Source organism: Homo sapiens, chromosome 1 (assembly GCF_000001405.40).
Source record: "Homo sapiens chromosome 1, GRCh38.p14 Primary Assembly".
Taxonomy (NCBI): domain Eukaryota; kingdom Metazoa; phylum Chordata; class Mammalia; order Primates; family Hominidae; genus Homo; species Homo sapiens.
In genome coordinates this window covers 98264337-98284055 of record NC_000001.11, presented here as the reverse complement: position 1 = coordinate 98284055, position 19719 = coordinate 98264337, and the positions used below count along the sequence as shown (strand labels likewise).

Sequence of the window (19719 nt, the reverse complement as noted above, 5' to 3'; positions counted from 1 at the left end):
ATGTATCAGTGGCCAGAGACCAATTCCCATGTTTATTTCTCAGTGTGTGTGGTGTGTGTGCATGTGTTTTAATACCCAAGTAGCTTAAATTGGACTCCAAATTAATTGTAAGCACAAACTTGGATTTTGAGTTCTCAAAATAGATGTTCTGTGCCACCCAGAGTCAAGGCAAAACCCAGTTTAAGTGTTGCCTTTTGTAACCAGTCTGATTCCACAGCAAGACCATAGAAGTTGAATTGCGTGGCAATGCAGTATCCTGTACACAATCACCATCACATTTGGCCTGCCATAGCATCGGCTGGCATAATCATTGTTTGCCTCTTAGCTACCTCTCTGCTTCTGGTAAATAAGGTTTCCCTTTCTTGCATGCTTGATAAGGTCAACCATTCTCATTATCTATTTATTATTTTATCACAAATATAAAGGTAGAAGGTTTAAAAAGCTAGTATAACCAACTATTTTACAAAACTAGAACTCTGAGTTCTTTGAAATTAAAAAACAGGTAAAGGTCATTAATTGTAACTTACTAATGAGTAGAACACATGGCTAATAAAAATGGAAAATATTCAATGCTACTTGTTCACTCATCAAAACAGAGAAGACCAAAAAGAATGGTAAAGTGTAAAAATGCAGGGCACCCTTATATAATGCACAATTTCTGAAGAACATTTATCTATATAAATATGATACTTTAAATATGAATACGTTAATAAATAACTATTTAGACTGGGCGCGGTGGCTCACGCCGGTAATCCCAGCACTTTGGGAGGCCGAGGCAGGCGCATCATGAGGTCAGGAGATCGAGACCATCCTGGCTAACACGGTGAAACCCCTTCTCTACTAAAAATACAAAAAATTAGCTGGCAGTGGTGGCTGGTGCCTGTACTCTCAGCTACTCAGGAGGCTGAGGCAGGAGAATGGCGTGAACCTGGGAGGCAGAGCTTGCAGTGAGCCGAGATTGCACCACTGCATTCCAGCCTGGGCTACAGAGCAAGACTCCGTCTCAAATAAATAAATAAATAAATAAATAAATAAATAAATATATAAATAACCATTCAAGGTCTAGGAGATTTTTCTAAGGAAATAATCAGATTTGTTTATAAATTTTTCATTGGAACTTTATTTACAATGGCATTTTAAAAATCTTTAAATAACCAATTGGGAAGAATTGAACTAAATTATGGTACATCTAATAATGGAGCAAAGAATATCTATTAAAATTAAAATTATAAAATAAATATTGACATGGGAAAATATTTATGGTAGAGTGTTAAGTAAAACACACAAAAACAGGCACTAAGCAGTATATACTCAGATGTGTAAAACACGTACAGATATAATTTCATGCAGATAAAAGATGGGAAGTGTATACACAAAAATACTAAAAATATGAATTTCTTAAAATTGATATGTTAGTTTTATAATCAGAAAACAAAAATGGAAAATGCTATTTTTAAAAGCACTGTGTTAGGCTGTTCTTGTACTGCTATAAAACCTTCCTCCCTGAGAGGATAAAACATAAAAGGAAAAAAGAAATACCTGAGACTGGGTAATTTATAAAGAAAAGAGGTTTAATTGGCTCACAGTTCTGCAGGCTGTACAAGTTTGGCACCAACATCTGCTTGGCTTTTGGGGAGGCCATAGGGAGCTTTTACACATGGCAGAAGTCCAAGTGAGAACAGGCATGTTACAGGGCCTGAGTGGAAGCAAGAGAGTGCAAAGGAGAAAATGCCACACACTTTCAAGCAACCAAATCTCCCAAGAACTCACTGACCATCAGGAAACCAGCACCAATCCATAAGGGATCAGCTGTCATGACTCAAACACCTCCCACCAGGCCCCACCTCCAACGTTGGGGATTAGAATTCAACATGAGATTGGCAAGGACATGTATTCAAACTGTATCAAGCACATATTTAGTCATTTCAGTAAACTTTTGTGAAGCTACACAAACTTCTTATCAGTGTCTGGTAATATTCAGTTTATTTCACTGACTCTTCCCTTACCACAAAGCGACTTACGGAAAGCAGCCATTGTTTTATTCCTTTTTATGGTCTCAATCAAAGCTCATAATAAATGCTCAATGAAAGTATGTGTAACCTAGCAAATGAATAAATAACATTAGTGAATAAACAAATTTTAAAAATGATGTTATTACCATCTTTCTACAGGATAATGATAAGAAAGCAAAATGAAATGAATCAATGAATTAAAATTCACTACCATAATAAGTCTAAAAAGCAAATAAAATATTTCAGAAATTGATCTTTTCAAATAAAAAATATTTTGAGATATAATAACTGTATGTATATGGTTTACATTTGTACAGGCTTTTTTTTTTTTTAGACGGAGTCTCACTCTGTCACCCATGTTGGAGTACAGTAGTGGGTTTTCAGCTCACTGCAACCTTGGCCTTTCTGGTTTAAGTGATTCTTCTGCCTCAACCTCCCACGTAGCTGGAACTACAGGCATGGGCCAGCACACCCCAATAATTTTTGTATTTTTAATAGTTTAAGCGATTCTTCTGCCTCAACCTTCCAAGTAGCTGGAACTACAGGCATGGGCCAGCACACCCAACTAATTTTTGTATTTTTAATATAGACGGGGTTTCACTATGTTGGCCAGGCTGGTCTTGAACTCCTGACCTTAGGTGATCCCCTTGCCTCGGCCCCCCAAAGTGCTAGGATTACAGGCACGTGCCACTGGGCCTGGCCTGTGCAGGCTATTAATAAAAGCAGAATGTAATAATATATTTTAACTTAGTTTGAAAATTTCAATTTATCAGTAATATCTTCAGAAATCATCCCCCTATAATCCATTTCTACCAAAGAATTTAACTGGGTTGCACCTGCTAATGGCTCTGGATCTTATGCTTTTTGAAACAACTCATAGGAAAGGAGAGGGGGAACACTTTCAATGGATTCAATACATTCAGTACTACACTTCCTTTCCTAGCCTTATTAAGCTTATCATAAGCAGGTATCGAAACGGGCTTTAAATCTCTGCTAAAGTGCTAACTCCACATATAAGTATAATTATTTTTAAAACCCAGAAGAAAAATCTAAGATGAAATAGAAAAATTCTCACAAAGCAAATTGTGTACTGTATGTATGACACTGTGAGGTTTAGACACATGTAAAGGAAGTGCCTTCTGCTTTGCTATTTTGAAATGTCATTCCACTCTAGAAGCCGGTCAAGTTATGTTAATGTGCATTTGGTACAAATATTACCCTCATATTTTTAAAATTGAATCAATATTCAATAACATATCACATGTAATTATAAAGGGTAAGCATTGGGATTCAAAAGATATGAGTGACGTTGAAGAAACAGAATTTTACTAGTGTTTTAAGTTCCCAAAGCTTTTTTACATATCATGGAGAACAAATCCATAATCCAGCCCAAAGTGTTAATAATAATACAAAGATAAGTATACTATCAAAATCTGGTGTGAAATTCTGTTGTTTGATTGGTGCATATTTTTAATCAGTCCAAAATTTCTGATTTGGGGATTTAATACCAGTGATTGCTGTTAATTTCTTCAGATTAGTACTCATTATGAAAATCATATTTCTATATGAGTTTTTCTTCCCTTCATAAAATCTTATCCCAAGACAGCTAAAATCCTTCTGAGAGCCTGAACAGTCAAACCTGGGCTCATAATGCACAGATAAAACACTCTTTATAGCAGCATTCATTAAAGTACTAGACAGAGCACAAAAAGCAGCAACAGGGAGCTTTCCCCTAAAAGCTTTTAATACAGCTCTTTCCAAGACTCATTAAATCGGCCCAGCACTAAAGCCTCTGGCCACCCCCATCTATTGATCTCCACCACTGTGGAGCCCCCTACTCTGTCCAACTGTAGTCGGAGGTAATTTATCTCTGATGAATATATCGTCCACAGAAAAGTCACTAGTACAAAGCTGCAAGTCAGAATCCCAACTCTAAGTGAGGCAATTATTGTGTGTTTTCTGTGGGTTCCCGAAAAGTCCCTGCAAATATAAACATTCTGCAAAACTGTTTGTCTTAATTTTCATTTGACTTCCTCAAACAGGCCCTACTAACAGGTAACATTTATTGAACATATATTATGTGGCTGTACTAGGATTCGTGTTTTAAGCATTGTTTTTATTTAATCCTTATACCAGCATGATGAACAATTTATCTCCATTTTGCACATGAAAGAAATGGGGCTCAGAGAGTTGAAGTAACTATCCAGAATCTCAAAGCCAATAGGTGGCAGAACCACTGTTAGAAAAAACCTTATAGTGAATCTTTCTGTTCACCTAACTGATATTTTATTTTGGATACCATGTACCAGGACCTGTGGTAAACTAAATGGACATGCTCCCTGTGTTCATGGTGCTTACAGCTCTGTGGGAGCAAAAACTTTAAACAAGTAAGTGGGAAATAAACAGCAAATTGTAGTAATTATTATGAAGAACAAAGTATGTATAAATATTATTCTTATTCCAGCATTAATAACTCTGCTCATCCATTTGTTTCACATTTATTTGGCATGTGTAGATTATACTTTCAACAAGATACACCCATAAAAACATGTTTGCCTTTTTCTTTCTAATCAACAGAACAACTCACAGCATTATTAATTTGGAAGAGCAGAAGTTCTTTTGAATTGATTATCCTTTATCCATAAGATAACCATTTATTCTAAACCAAACAATCTCAATTATGATTCTAATCTCTGTCCTTTCTACTTTGACAGTTTACTTTCTGAAAAGAGTTACAGTTTAGATAATAAATTTGTATGATCACTCTACTTGTACAATATTTGGAGCTGTTTGAAATGTGTTTTGGAGAAAATAGTAGTGAACTGAAAGAAATGACTGTGTCCTACTTTCTACTGGGATCTTTTCCTATGTAATTTTACTTAATCTTCTTCAGACACCTCACTGAGGCCACAATTGCTATACCCACTTGAAGACAAGTGTCTCAAAGATATCTTATACAATGCATATGTTTACATATCCTAAATATCTCTCAAATATCTTCTCCCTCCACTTCATTCATTCACTCTACAAATATTGATTTAACCCCTTCTTTGTGCCAGACATTGTGCTAGGTACTAGGATATGAATGAGACAAGGTAGAGTAGTTTGTTTCTACCTTCATGGAGTTTGCCATTTACTAGAGAAAGCAGGCAAAAACAAGCAAACAAAAATAAAATACAATAAATATAAATTGTTCTAAGTGCTATGGAACTTAAGTAAAACAGAGTCCTGTAGCTTTCTCATGGGTTATCTTGTTCCAATACTCCAAAATGCCCTCCATTACACTGTTATAGAAAGTTCTGAATACAAATTTGATAATGTTTCTTTATGATTTAAATCTCAGGGATTCTTAAAATCATCAGTGTAAATTTGTATGATGCAAGTCACTTTATAATTTGTTCTCTGCTTACAGGCATAAAAATAAATTGAACGTGAACAAACAGGTGAGAATGCAAGCCTCTAGTCTTTCCATATTGCAGAAGTTCCGCTCTTTCTTAAGGAAAACTTGTACCTTAGTGACATGTGACCATTGACTATCAGTAAATTAATATGTATCTTAATTTTTAGTAAAAATATAAGCATAAATCTTTTTTCTATGGGATAGTTTAGTACAACCTATACGTATGCACAGCTGGCTTTGGAGACCCCTAGTGTGTTTGTTTATACCATTAGACTGCAAAGTTTTTTGAGAACTAAAGCTACAGGATTCATTGTTGTGCATTCGGTCCTAGAGTGCTTAGCATTTGATCTGGATAAAACCCAGGAGGTCATCATTGTTTGCAGACTGACTGACTAAATGAGGGAAGAATTCAATCCATCCATTGAGCAAATGCAGAGTGCCCATGACTTGTAGCATGTTGGCAGTGGTAGGACCAACATAACCAGGGAGGATATGATGATATGATACAAGTGCCAACATTTCTCTGACATTTCTAAGCATGTCAACAAAATCCCACTATTAATAGGGCTGTAGGGAATTATGTCCTCGACACACATTTCTCTTAAGTAATCTCCATTTAGTTGGTTGTTTTTAAATAACTGTTCCACAAAAGAGGAGATTTTTTCACAGTGCTCTTTCAAAACAGAGTCCCAGTGTTCCTGAACCAAACTGAAGGTCGGGCTGTTTCTCGTGTCCCAATAACAAGATGCGGACGAACTGGGGAGGAAGAAAGTTTTATTCCTGTAAGCCAGTTACAGGGAGAAGACCTGGAAATTATCACCAGACCAACTCAAAACACAAAGTTTTCCAGAGCTTATGTACCTCCTAAGCTATAAGTCTACGTGTAAGTCTGCATTCATCTAAAGACATAAGTGATTAACTTCTTTTAATCTATAAGGTCTCAGTCCTGAAGACCTTCCTCTAGAGCCTCAGTAAATTTACTTAGTCTAAAGGGGTTCAGGTGGTAGGGTGATTACCCTTATCTTGTTTCCTGTTAAATCACAGAGGTTTGGGTATTCTTTCAGACCCCTAATCAACTTGTATGTGGAGGCCTGAGGAGTTTCTTCAGATCCCCAGTAAAACTTGTTTAATCCTAAATGAGTCCTGTTAAGAATTCCTTCATTATTTTGTCATGCTTTAAGGCCCAGGAAAAGCATAGGCAAGATTCTTGGTGGGCTTTTGTTACATTCCAGCCTTTGTATAAGGGCCCTGGCATTTTTAACTTTTAATATTTAACTTAACTACTCAGTACTGAAACGGTTGTTAGGGAGGCCTGTATTAGTGAGGCCTGGCCTGCCACACCAGGGAAGTAGATTTCAAACTTAGGGTAAAGGATGACTCATGCTGACCAGCTCTAATACACATGATTTTACCATATTACAAGTACTATAAATACTCATGAGACGTAGGCTAATTAACTAATAGCTGAATGTCCCTAAACATGGTACAGGTGCCTATGCATGATGATCTCCTTATGGAGTCCACTAACATATGCAAAGAAAAAGTAATCAAAGCTATTTGCAGGTCAAAAGAAAAAACAGGAGTCACTTTTTAAAGGATATTAAAATGAATAAGGGCAGAAATGCTAAAACTAGGACATAGATGTACATATAAACACATTTATGCAACAAAAAGATTAGTGAGTTTTACTGTAATCAATAGATTGAAAACTTTTTCTTTTTTGATCTGAAAAACAATCGTTACCTTAAGAAAAGAACATATGTATGTGGATTATAGGAAATCTTAAAAAATAAATAAGGAGGAAAGGGGGATTACACTGCACCAACCTGGGAGGCTGGGAAAGAAGCTAAGCTGAGTGAATGAGCCTTATGTTAGCTGACGAAGGGTGCATTTAGTGCTTACCCACCCCAGGCAAGTCTGTGAACCACAGATAGCCTTTTACAAGAATCCTTTACCTGCAGCCATTATGATGGAGGTGGTGGGAGCAGGAGATGGTGGGGGAGGGACATCCAAAGAATATACATTGAGTTGCTGATTACCCATGTTGACCCAGATGAGTCATGTCACAATTTATTCAAAAATCAATGTAGATTTAACCTTATTGTCATTGTACATAAATTTGAATATATGGCTTAATCTGAGGTTCTAAGTATTCTAGAGTTAAAACAAATAATAAAATGATTTCATTATATCTTAACAGGGAAAGCTGAAAAATTTCTGTTTCCCTGCTCAGAACTCTTCCCTCATAAGGAAGCAAGATATTTAATCTATGAAAAACTTCCATTTTTGTGGACTGCATATTTCTTGAATTGGGGGCAGGTAATTAAGGCTGCAGATAGAATGAACTAAATATAGTCTATGCAGAAGAGTCTGAAAGATACTCATATTTTTTTCCCTCACACTGAAAAAAATGTGGAAGCTTTATGCTCTTCATCTGATCTGATCATTAGCATAATCCACCTACTGGGAAACAGGTGGAAAGGAAAATCTAAATTTTAGCCTTATGTGGTAACCTTTGCCTGATGCAATAATTTAAGTGTTCCCTTTAGATGATACTTAGAATTTTTAGGTTAAAATGGACAGTCTTCTAGTCTTCCAGAGCCCTCCTCTGCTCTTTTGGGATATGGGTGAGGTGTACAGCATTGGTGAGAGCAAAATGGGGCTTGGGAGCTCAGGAACTTGCATCAAATTTCGTAGCCTCACTCATCTCAACTCAAGACAAGCCAGTTGAGATTTCCCCATGGACCAGATGCCTGTTGAAATTGACTAGCATTACCTCAGGACTTCTGTTGACTTCTGACACTATAATATGCTTAGGTTATATATCTGTGATCCATATTTTTCTCTCAGGCAGCTATGATTCAGTTGTATTCCCTCTTGATTAGGCACCTTGGTTCTGGAAGGCTCTGTAGACATTTTGTAACATTTGTCATAACCCCTATCCATCTTCTTCCTGAAACTTGTCATCCCAGGTCTTCTGTAGCTGAATTACCTGGTGCCTTGGTACACTTCAAGGGAAAACCACAAGCCCTCAACTATACCCCTTCTACACCTTCCTACAGAACCATCTGAGCCTTTATAATTTCTTACAAAAACTAAGGAATAAATCTGACTCGCTCTCTACCTTATCTTGCTGCCTGTAAAGTTTACTTTGATTTAATTATCCTCTAGGTTGATCCAGGGAAACCTTTGAAGCCACCCCTTACCCTAGCAAAATCCAAGAATTTGCAGCATGGGACCCAACTGTCTCACTTCCATCCAGCTTCCCTGGCAAATACCGTCACACCAGCCAGTTGAAACACTCAGGTGGAATGAAGAGCGCCCCCTCCACATTTCCATGTTCTTAATGGTATGTGAATGGATTTAATTGGCAGAAGCTAATTCATGTCTAGAATTTTAACTGCAATAAAGTCTGGGAATTATCTAATTTAAGCTTTTAGCTTCTACAATACAGGAAGACAAGCTAAGAGAGTGAAACCACCATATCCATTTTAAGTAAGCCCATAATCACTCTCACTCTTATAACCTTACATAGATTTATGCCTAACTAAGAAGTCTGCTTACTCTGGAGTATTTTCTGGGCATCCTTATGGAAATATAAGTCTCATATCACCCATATCTCCATAAAGAAAATTTCATATTTATAGGAATAAAGAACATTAATAAATGTTATTATTTTCCTAGGATAGTACGCCAAAATGCTAACAAATTTCCTCTATTAAGATACCTGCAAGTTTATGCTGAGGAAAAAGGAACAGCATAGGCAAGTTTCAGGTCTTCTTTTGGTTCCTTCTATGCTCCTTTATTTAGAGAGCAGCTTATCCCTTTATTTAAAAGCCTACTGAGAAAGCCTGGGCTTGAAATTTTGCTCAGCCAGGCCTAATGTGGTGATGCCCAATGGAGATTTAGAGCCTTCTGTCATCTCAACTCCCCAGAAACTAAAATAGATGGAATGGCCCTGTGTTGGACCATTCTTGTACTGCTATAAAAGAATACCTGAAGTTGGATTATTTGTTTTTAAAAAAAGAGGCTTAATTGGCTTATGGTTCTGCAGGCTGTACAGAAAGCATGATGCCAGCATCTGCTTGGCTTCTGGTGAAGCCTCAGGGAGTTTTCAATTATGGCAGAACATGAAGAGGGAAGCCAGTCATCTCACATGGCAAGAACAGGGGCAAGAGGGAGGGAAAGAGAGTGGGAGGTGCCACACACTTGTAAACAACCAGATCTCACATTAACTCACTTATCACCAAGGGGATGATGATAGCCATTTATGATCTGCCCCCATGATCCAAACACCTCCCACCAGGCCCTACCCCCAACACTGGGGATTACATTTCATCATGAGATTTGAGGGGACACATATTCAAACTCTATCAGGCCCAATATATTGTTTTATCCAAAAGCTAACTATGAGAAGCAGCTCTACCTTCTCTTTTGCAAACAATCCAAGCCTGTAAGCAGGGATAGGTTGGATTCAAACTTCTTCATGACCAGATAGAGGGTTCGGTCAATGTGTTAGTAATTTTGTTAGAAGATAACATAATACGGAGATTAAGAGTACCAGCTCTGGAGCTAGACTTCCTGAGTTTGAATTCTGGCTGCTCAATTTATTAGATATCTAATCTGGGATTAATATCTTAATCTCTCTGCACTGCATTTTCCTCATCTGTATAATGAAGTGAATGGTAACACCTACCACATAAACTTTTATGAGGATTAAATTAGTATATGTGAAGTTCTTTAAATGGTGCCTAGATCTTTATAACACTTAATAAACTAATAAAATTCTTTCTACTACTTTTTTTTCTTAAACTTTTTATCCAAAGTTCAGGGGTACATGTACAGGATGTGCAGGTTTGTTACACAGGTAAAACGTGAGCCATGGTGGTTTGCTGCACAGATCATCCTATCACGTAGGTATCAACCCCAGCATCCATGACCTATTTTTCCTGATGCCCTCCCTCCCCCTAATCCCACCACCAATGGCCCCCAGTGTGTGTCGTTCCCCCTGATTTATCCATGTGTTCTCATCATTCAGCTCCCACTTATAAGTGAGAACATGGAGTGTTTGGTTTTCTTTTCTTGCATTAGTTTGCTGAGGATAACAGCTTCCAGTTACATCCATGTCCCTGCATAGAACAAAATCTTGTTCCTTTTTATGGCTGCATAGTATTCTGTGGTGTATGTGTACCACATTTTCTTTTTCCAGTCTATCATTGATGGGCTTTTAGGTTGATTCCCTGTCTTTGCTGCTGTAAAGAGTGCTGCAATGAGCATGCCTGTGTATGCATCTTTATAATAGGATGATTTATATTCCTTTGGGTGTATACCCAGTAATGGGATTGCTGGGTCAAATGGTATTTCTGCCTCTAAGTCTTTGAGGAATTGCCACACTGTCTTCCACAATGGCTGAACTAATTTACACTCCCACTAACAGTGTAAAAGCATTTCTTTTTCTCCACAACATTGCCAGCATCTATTATTTTTGGACTTTTTAATAATCGCCATTCTCACTGGCGTGAGATAGTATCTCATTGTGGTTCTGATTTGCATTTTTCTAATGATCAGTGATGTTGAGCTTTTTTTCGTGTTTGCTCCTCCATGTATGTCTTCTTTTGAGAAGTGTCTGTTCATATCCTTTGCCCACTTTTTAATGGGGTTGTTTGTGTTTTTCCTGTAGTTTGATTAAGTTCCTTGTAGACTCTGGATATTATACCTTTGTCAGATGGATAGATTGTAAAAATTTTCTCCAATTCTGTACTTTGTTCACTCTGATGATAGTTTCTTTTGCTCTGCAAAATTCGTTTATTTAATTAGATCCCATTTGTCAATTTTTGCTTTTGTTGCAATTGCTTTTTGCATTTTCGTAACAAAATCTTTGCCTGAAAGGTATTGCCTAGATTTTCTTCTAGGGTTTTTATAGTTTTGGGTTTTAAATTTGTATTAGTCTGTTTCCATATTACTATAGAATTGCTGAGACTGGGTATTTATTAATAGAAATGAAAGAGGTTTAATTAACTCACAGTTCAGCATGGCTGGGAAAGCCTCAGGAAACTTACAATCATGGCAGAAGGTAAAGGGGAAGCAAAGCAGTTTCCTCACAAGGTGGAAGGAAGGAGAAGTGTTAAGCAAAGGGAAAAGAGCCCCTTATAAAACCATCAGATCTCATGAGAACTCACTCATTATCATGAGAACAGCATGGGGGAAACCACCACCCTGATCCAATTACCTCCACCCTGTCCTGCCCTTGACATGTGGGGATTATGGAGATTACAATTCAAGGTGAGATTTGGGTGGGGATCCAGAGCCAAACCATATCAACATTTAAGTCTTCAATTCATCTTGAGTTAATTTCTGTATAAGGTGTAAGGAAGGGGTCCAATTTCAATTTTCTGTGTATGGCTAACCAGTTCTCCCAGTATCATTTATTAAATAAAGAGTTCTTTTCCCATTGCTTGTTTTTGTCAGGTTTGTTGAAGATCAGATGGTTGTAGGTGTGCAGTCTTATTTCTGAGTTCTCTTTTCATTCCTTTGGTCTATGTGCCTGTTTTTGTACCAGTATCATGCTGTTTTGGTTACTATAACCTTGTAGCATAGTTCGAAGTTGGGTAGTATGGTGCCTCCAGGTTTGTTCTTTTTGTTTAGGATTGTCTTGGCTATTTGGGCTCATTTTTGGTTCCATATGGCTTTTAAAGTGGTAGAAGACAAGAATGCCCTCTTTTACCACTCTTATTCAATATAGTATTGGAAGTTCTGGCCAGGGCAATCAGACAAGATAAAGAAATAAAGGGTAAATAGAAAGAGAGGAAGTCAAATTATCTTTGTTTACAGATGGCGTGATCCTATACCTAAAAAAACCCCATTTTCTCAGCCCAAAAGCTTCTTAAGCTGAGAAGCAACTTCAGCAAAGCCTCAGGATACAAAATCAATGTGCAAAATCTCTAGCATTCCTATACACCATCAATAGGCAAGCAGAGAGATGAATCATGAATGAACTCCCATTCACAATTGCTACAAAAAAAAAAGATACCTAGGAATACAGCTGAGAAGGAAAGTGAGGAACCTCTTCAAAGAGAACTACAAACTGATCCTCAAAGAAATCAGAGAGGACACAAACAAAAGGAAAAACATTCCATGCTCATGGATAGGAAGAATCAATATTGTGAAAATGGCCATACTTTTCAAAGTAATCTATAGATTCAATGCCAGTCCCATTAAACTACCATTAATGTTCTTCACAGAATTAGAAAAAAAAAAACTATCCTTCCACTACTTTTATTAATAGGACACTCTGAAGTATCTCCTAGTGCTCTAAATTTTGTTTAGTGTTGTAAAGGTTCAAGGGGCAGTGTAATCTGACTCAGATAAAGGAAGTGTGTTCACTTGGGGCAGACCACACTGCTACTTGCTAATTTTTCTCCCTAACTTATGTTTATTGAATAACATGTATCAAGCCCTATGCCATGAGCTTTCCCATATCTTATCTCCCTTACCCTTTACAACAATCCTCCAAGATGCTAATTATTTCCATTTTAGAGATGACACAACTGACACACAGAGATTGTTTACATTTTCCTATGAAGAAGGTCTAATAAGGTGACTTTCTAGGATTCCAGGCTAAATTAGTCAGAGTTCAAGTCCAATGCCTTTTCCATTGCCCTGTGTTACCTCTTTAAACAGTATATCTGTAGTTATTTAAGCAATTATGCATGCATTATTTCATTTAACTTTCAGAATAATTCTATGATATTGAGCATCAGGATGGCTCATCTGCAGGTAACAGAAAACCTAGATGGCAGTAATTTAATCAGATAAGGGTTCATTCCTTGAACATAATAATGCATCTAGCTTTAGTTAATGACAGCTTGGTTGCTGGCCTTGCATGGAGGGTTCAATGATGCCATCAAGAACCCAGGCTTCTTCCATCTTTCCCCTTCATCATTTGATACATGTTGATTTTTCATTCTTCAGTTTGCCATCTTGTGTTTGAATAATATTTTTCACAGCTTTAGGCAAAACAAAGCCAGAAGCAGGTAGTTGGGACAAGTGCTGGAAAAGGAGTGAAACAAACAGAATTTACTTATTTATCAAAGAGAAAAACAATGCTTCTCAAAAACCTATCCCAAAAATCTTATCAAGGGGTATGTGAGTCACACGGCCATACCTAGCAACAAAGAGACTGGGAAGGTAATAAGTTGGCTTCTTACAGTCCCTCCGGTGGGAGGCAGAACAAGGACAAAGGAAGTTAGGTGTAGCTCTTAGAGACAAGACAATGAATGGTCTCTTTCACTCCTAGGTATTACATAAAGTTTTTTAGATAACGTCACATGTCCAGATAGATTGTGACTTTTCCGTTGTCACAGGGGTAATATGCAGTATCCTAGGGACTTAAATAAAGGTTTTTTTTTCACCCTATCCTCTAAAATTTCCACTGTACCGTGAAAGCCATGTAACTGGGCCTTGTTTCTAAATTTTTCAGATGTACAGTAAGAAGAAGGGTCCCTGGGGAAATTATTTATTTTGTTACAACTTTTTTTTTTTTAAAAAAAGGGAGGAATATAATAAAAAGTATATATCTAATAATATTGTCCAAATTAAAAATTTTTTAAAAACAAAAACAACATGGAGAAATAAAATATGCTATCCACAAGAATTATAGATTTATTGCAATTTATTTTAATATTTTATATATATTGATGGAAAGAGAGAATCAAATAGGTTTATGAAATTTCCCCTTATATTTTAGAACTTAGATGCAAACATTACAAATCTGAAAGACAAATTCTTTTCCATTACTATATTTGAAAAATAATTTATCATTTGTAAGTGTATATAAAGGACATTGAAGAACATAACAAATAACAAATTCAACATTAATTGTACAAAATAAACTATAAATGGGAGGTGATGGTTAGACTGGCTAAACTAATATTTTTATGTTATCTTTATGTTCTCTATCTTGACATGAGTTTAGAACTTAGAATGATTAAAGGACTGGCTGAACATGTTTCTACAGGCTATCTTCTACAGGCATCAGTTCTCTCAGCCAGGCTTTCTTTTTGCATAGACATTTTAACCTTAATCACAGAGGTAATACATGTCAAATGGGGACAAACACACACACACACACACACACACACACACACACACACAGATAAAGCAAAAAGTGAAATAAACCATCGCTAATCCTACTACCCAGAAAACTGTTTACACATTGTTGTGTTTTCAGCCAATAATTTTTCATGCATAAAATATATTTTTTCCAAAAATATAATGATACTGTATACAGTTTTTCTGTCTAATATTTAATTTATGGATGTATCAGAAACACTATTCTTAATCAATGAATAGGGTTATACAACATAATTTTACATTTCAATTTCATATTGCACTGTAAACATATATCACAGTATTGTAATCAATTTTTTAATTTAGATATTTAGGTTTAAAATTTTCCATATTGTAAGTAATAAGGTCCTTACCATCATCATACCTATATCTTTGCACACATTTCTGATAAATTATAAAAAATTGAATTTCTGTGTTGAAGTGTTGGAGCATTTTTAAATCTTTTGTCACATACTGCCAAATTATCTCCAGAAATTTATTCTCTCACCATCTCAGCCAGACTTTTGACAGAAGCTGGCTAGCAGATAATTTGAATTATACTCTCTGATGAGTACCACCATGAAGCACTACCATGACATTTCAAACAACCTTCTCTATTTTCTAACTTCGAGTTTGGAGGAGAGATGGGACACCTGCCCTGGGAATCAGAAGACGTGGGTACTGGGTTGGGGTATTATTATCTGGTCTACCTGTTTAATTGGTCATTGTGAGATCAAATGACATAACATATGAAAAAATTCTTTAGAAATGTCATTGCAAATGTAAGAAATTGTTAATTCAACAAGGGCATTCTATTAGGGATACCCTAGAAGGAAGAGAGATTTATCTTGACCATAAGTGAAAGAGGAGCAAGAGAATGTCCTTGGGGAATGCTCAGAGGGGCGGAATTGCATGTTCTCAGAATCTCTTGTGTCACATTTTGCTTTGTCTTTTAGGAGATATTTAAAGAAATGTTAACACACACTCAGTCGTACAGGCTTCTGGCTGGGTGTCAGTCTGTTAGTGATTTTCCCATAAAGCCCAGAGGCAACTGGATATTAAAAGACAGTACAAGAAAGACAAGGAGTTGCTCTTTACGATTTTCTGATACATAGGGAAAAACTGAGCTTAGTGTTCATGAAACACTTCAAGTTTCCTGGCAATAAATGTTATGCTTTGTTTTATTTTAAAGTTCTTTTGTATAGTGAGTGCATTTAAAACATCACTGAAACTATTCAACATATGTATTTGGTTTGACAGGATTATTATTCTTGCCAATTCTACATCCATTCGTATCAAGTGAAATCACTATTATCATTATTGTCTTTCTGGAAGCTTAGCTTTTTTTCCTGCCTATTTATAATATCAAATAGGATAATATGTTAGAATGATTTGTTCAATATAAATGATGGTAAATAGTCAAAATAGCAAAATATGTGACTACAACAATAAAGTGTGTTGAACTTTAAACAAGAAAGTCCCATGCCAATAATAATTCTTCATAGCCTTTAGTAAGTTGGTCCGAACATAAATATCATTTAATGTCATTTTTTGGTGTCTATCCATTTGGCAGAGAATGTCAGAGTGTATTCCATTTTTCTGACAAAATTTGACTCTTTGAATCAAAGAATTAATAGCATTGAGTTTAGGAAAGGAGGAGTTTATGCACTGATACTTTTCCATGGAGTTTTCTCTTCCTGTTAAATCAGCTGTTCACAAAAAAAAGTATTGCCTGCACTTGTCACATCACATGATTCTATGCTCAGACAACCCCTGAAATTCACAGCATTTTTCCAGTGTCACATACTGCACGTCACGCTGGCTGCAACTTCGGTACTTTTTTCCTCCAATATTTTAATGGGCAAACTTGAGTAATATATTTCCCAATTTCAAACCCTTCAGCACTGTCAGTCCAAAACTCCTGAGGATATGAACTAATGCAAAAGGTTCTGGCAGAGCTGAGCATCTTCAGCTCTGGTCTATCAGTGTCAAGTCCTCAAGCTCTTGAGAAATAATTTTACTTATTAAAACACATTTTCCCTCAAAAATACTGTAGGAAAGACAAAGCTCTCAGTGACCTCTCAGAAAATTGTTGAATTGAGGAGAGAAGTCTACATAACTCCTCCATTTTAAAGTCTAGTGAAAGTATAATTAATGTACCAAGAAAGAGCTCTGCTTTTCGTTCACAGATTTAAATTATTGAACTAAGCCTGCACCTTGGGACTATATTGCAAACACATTGCTTCCCAGTATTTTCTTTCTCTCAAAAATAGACAATGCCAACAGGTTGGCATACATTTTCAAGTTTTTAGTTAATGTCTGAGAATCCTTTAAGATTCTCTCTTCCCTCAGGAATTTCGTAGCGCTTAAGTTGAAATTGTCCCATCAGTGTAGTCATGATGAACTCTTCAAATACCTGAAAACCCATTGTGCACAGAGCATTTTATTCATTCAATTTCATGGAACAGGTTAACACCATGGTTACAGGTGTCTATTGAGTTAGTGTTCCTGTACAGGAAAAAACTACTTGCAGATTCATTAATTTAGGTTCCTTGGTGATTTTATATTATGTTTTACAGAAATATTATATACCTCCATGATGTCTTCATGAAAATATTCACTGCAGCAAAAGCCTTTTAAAAAATATAAGTCACATTACTTATTTCTCTGTGTATTTCCATCACAACATATTAGCCTTCCTTTTAAGGTAGCAATGATTATTAAAAGTTAGCACTATGCCAAGTGCAGGGTCAATAGCAGACAAAAATCATTTGATTTATCAGAATAAAGCAACCTCAGCTTAAAGAAAAGCTTCTGATTGAGAATCCTAGCAAAGATAACTCTGAGTTAAATATTTGATAAGTCATTTCTGCAAATATTAAGTCTTTATTTGACAACAACACCCTCTAGCCATCAAGTTACTTACAGTCCAATGGGAAAGAGTAAAGAAGTCCCTATGGAATGTCAAAAGAAGACTAAAGGAAAGCTCTGTAGAGCAGAGCACACAAATTTTAACTGTGCACACTGCTTGAAAAAGGATGAGGAATTCTTTGGTGAAATTGTCAAAGAGGCAGTTTATCATTGACATCATGTCATATGCCACTACCAATGGCCCTTCCTCCACTCAGACTGACATCAGACCTAGGCATGCAACTTTTCAAAAATACCTCATAATTCATTCTAATTTATTCTAAGGAAATTATCATAAAAACTCAGAGTTAATTATTTAAAAATTTCAATGCAATGCTGTTTACAGTATCAAAAAATATGGACTCAACAATTTTCAAACAGAGGAGATTGATTATAAAATAGTACCTTCAAGGAAAAGAATAACATGCTGTAGAAGACTATTAAGATATTCAAATATTTGAGAAAATATGAAAAAATAAACACATAAATGTATATTTAAGTTTAGAAGGATATACATCAAATATAATGTAAAATTACCAGGAATGATAGAATTTTGATTGATTTTCCTTTGTTTAGTAGTATTTTCCAAGTTATCTAGAATAAATTTGTCTTGCTTTGTAAAGGAAAAAAGACTTTTTTAAAAGAATTTACACAGTTTCCTTATTGATTTAACACTAGTTGCTAACTATCCAAGAAAAATATCAAGATCTTAGCAGCCAATTATAGTGTTGTTTGTATTACTTGCATTATTATTTTGACAGGGAATTTCTGGAGACACGATTACTTAATGTGGAGAAATAAATCCCTAATAAAGAAATTTCTGACTCTGTAAGCATCATTTAGGATCTTTGGAAGGAACTTACAGGAACCTCTCTGAAGATCTTTCTTATAGCTTGATCCAAGTCATCTGTCTAATTCCATGTGTAAACTTCATGAAGGAGGAAATTTGGGAAAAAACTTTAGAACTAGGATGGGAAGAAGAGTTGGCTAAACAAGAGCAGGTAGTACAGCTGCGGGCCTTTTTCAGATAGGAAATATTGCAGAATCAAATTAAAACTTTATTCTTTTAGCCCTAAAAGATCATCCCTGCCTTTTAATAAGTACAATGATCTAAATTTTTGTAGCTCTTCTATCCTTTAATTTATTCCCTATGTAACAAGTATAGCAGGATAGAAAAAAATATACGTTATTACTAGTTGCCTTCAACTCTATGCCTAGGGAAAGGATTGCCATGATTTAGGGGTGCTTGATAAGTTTCTGGTTTCTTGAAGCTTGGAAGAAAACAGCAGATAAGGAGAAATGGGGATTTGAGGCTTTCTAATTTCTTATGTGGTGGGGAGGTGTATGGGTTAGAAACAAATAATTCTCTGTCCTGCCAGATTTTAGAAAGGAAGTCATGTATCCAATTCAATCTAACAAGCACCCTACCGGCGTGGAGTACAGATTTGTAGCTACAAACCCTGCCCCCACAGAGTATTTAGTCATGACAATCTATATTGTAATTTGCAAGTTGTTCATCAAATCGCAGTAAATTACTGGAAACATTAAAACTTAATAATAAGTAATATTCTCCTGGAAAATTAGAAAGCTATGTCTAATTTAAAAAATCTGAAAAATCTTTCCACCTTTCTGGCATTCAGTAAAGCATACACCTGCCTCTGTAATTGCCATTTTGTTGAGGAGTAACAGAGCATGAAGCGTAATAACCACGGTATGTCTAAATAACAGCACCCTTAACTGTAGAAAAGCATTGACTTTGCCATGTGGTCCACCCTGCTGTAAATCAAACAGATTTTCTCCGTACTTTAGTATATTAGGGATATGTTACACAATTTTCGTCATTATTTTGCCACATATTTTTGTCATATCTGTTTTACTAGTTTTTTATTTAATATTTTATATATACATTTAAATGGAATCACCTTTTTACCTTAGCTCTATCCTGAGCAATAACCATGAAATCATGACTTTGATGTGCAAATTGCCTATTTCTAATGTAATTAAAATAAAAACTGTTCATCAATGTGTCATCTAAAAAGCCACATCACTCCACTTCAGTAGCAACACAGCCTAGACATTAAGATGGAGGAAGTCGGCCAGGCGCAGTGGCTCACGCCTGTAATCCCAGCACTTTGGGAGGCCGAGGCAGGCGGATCACCTAAGGTCAGGAGTTCAAGACCAGCCTCAACATGGAGAAACCCCGTCTCTACTAAAAATACAAAATTAGCTGGCCGTGATGGTGGCCTGTAATCCCAGCTACTTGGGAGGCTGAGGCAGGAGAATCGCTTG

General features: G+C 36.2%; 2 long non-coding RNA genes across 2 annotated transcripts in view; both read right to left on the bottom strand.

The window, feature by feature from the left end:
• Positions 1–1550: 1550 nt before the first annotated feature.
• The window catches only part of LOC124900404 (uncharacterized), a 228127-nt gene continuing 209958 nt past the window's right edge, over positions 1551–19719 (bottom strand). Inside the window, exon 2 of the long non-coding RNA XR_007066241.1 lies at positions 1551–1696. This is a non-coding gene — a long non-coding RNA (uncharacterized LOC124900404). The remainder of the gene's footprint in view (positions 1697–19719) is intronic.
• LINC01776 (long intergenic non-protein coding RNA 1776) overlaps positions 11398–19719 on the bottom strand; it is a 61948-nt gene continuing 53626 nt past the window's right edge. Inside the window, exon 3 of the long non-coding RNA NR_046088.1 lies at positions 11398–13461. This is a non-coding gene — a long non-coding RNA (long intergenic non-protein coding RNA 1776). The remainder of the gene's footprint in view (positions 13462–19719) is intronic.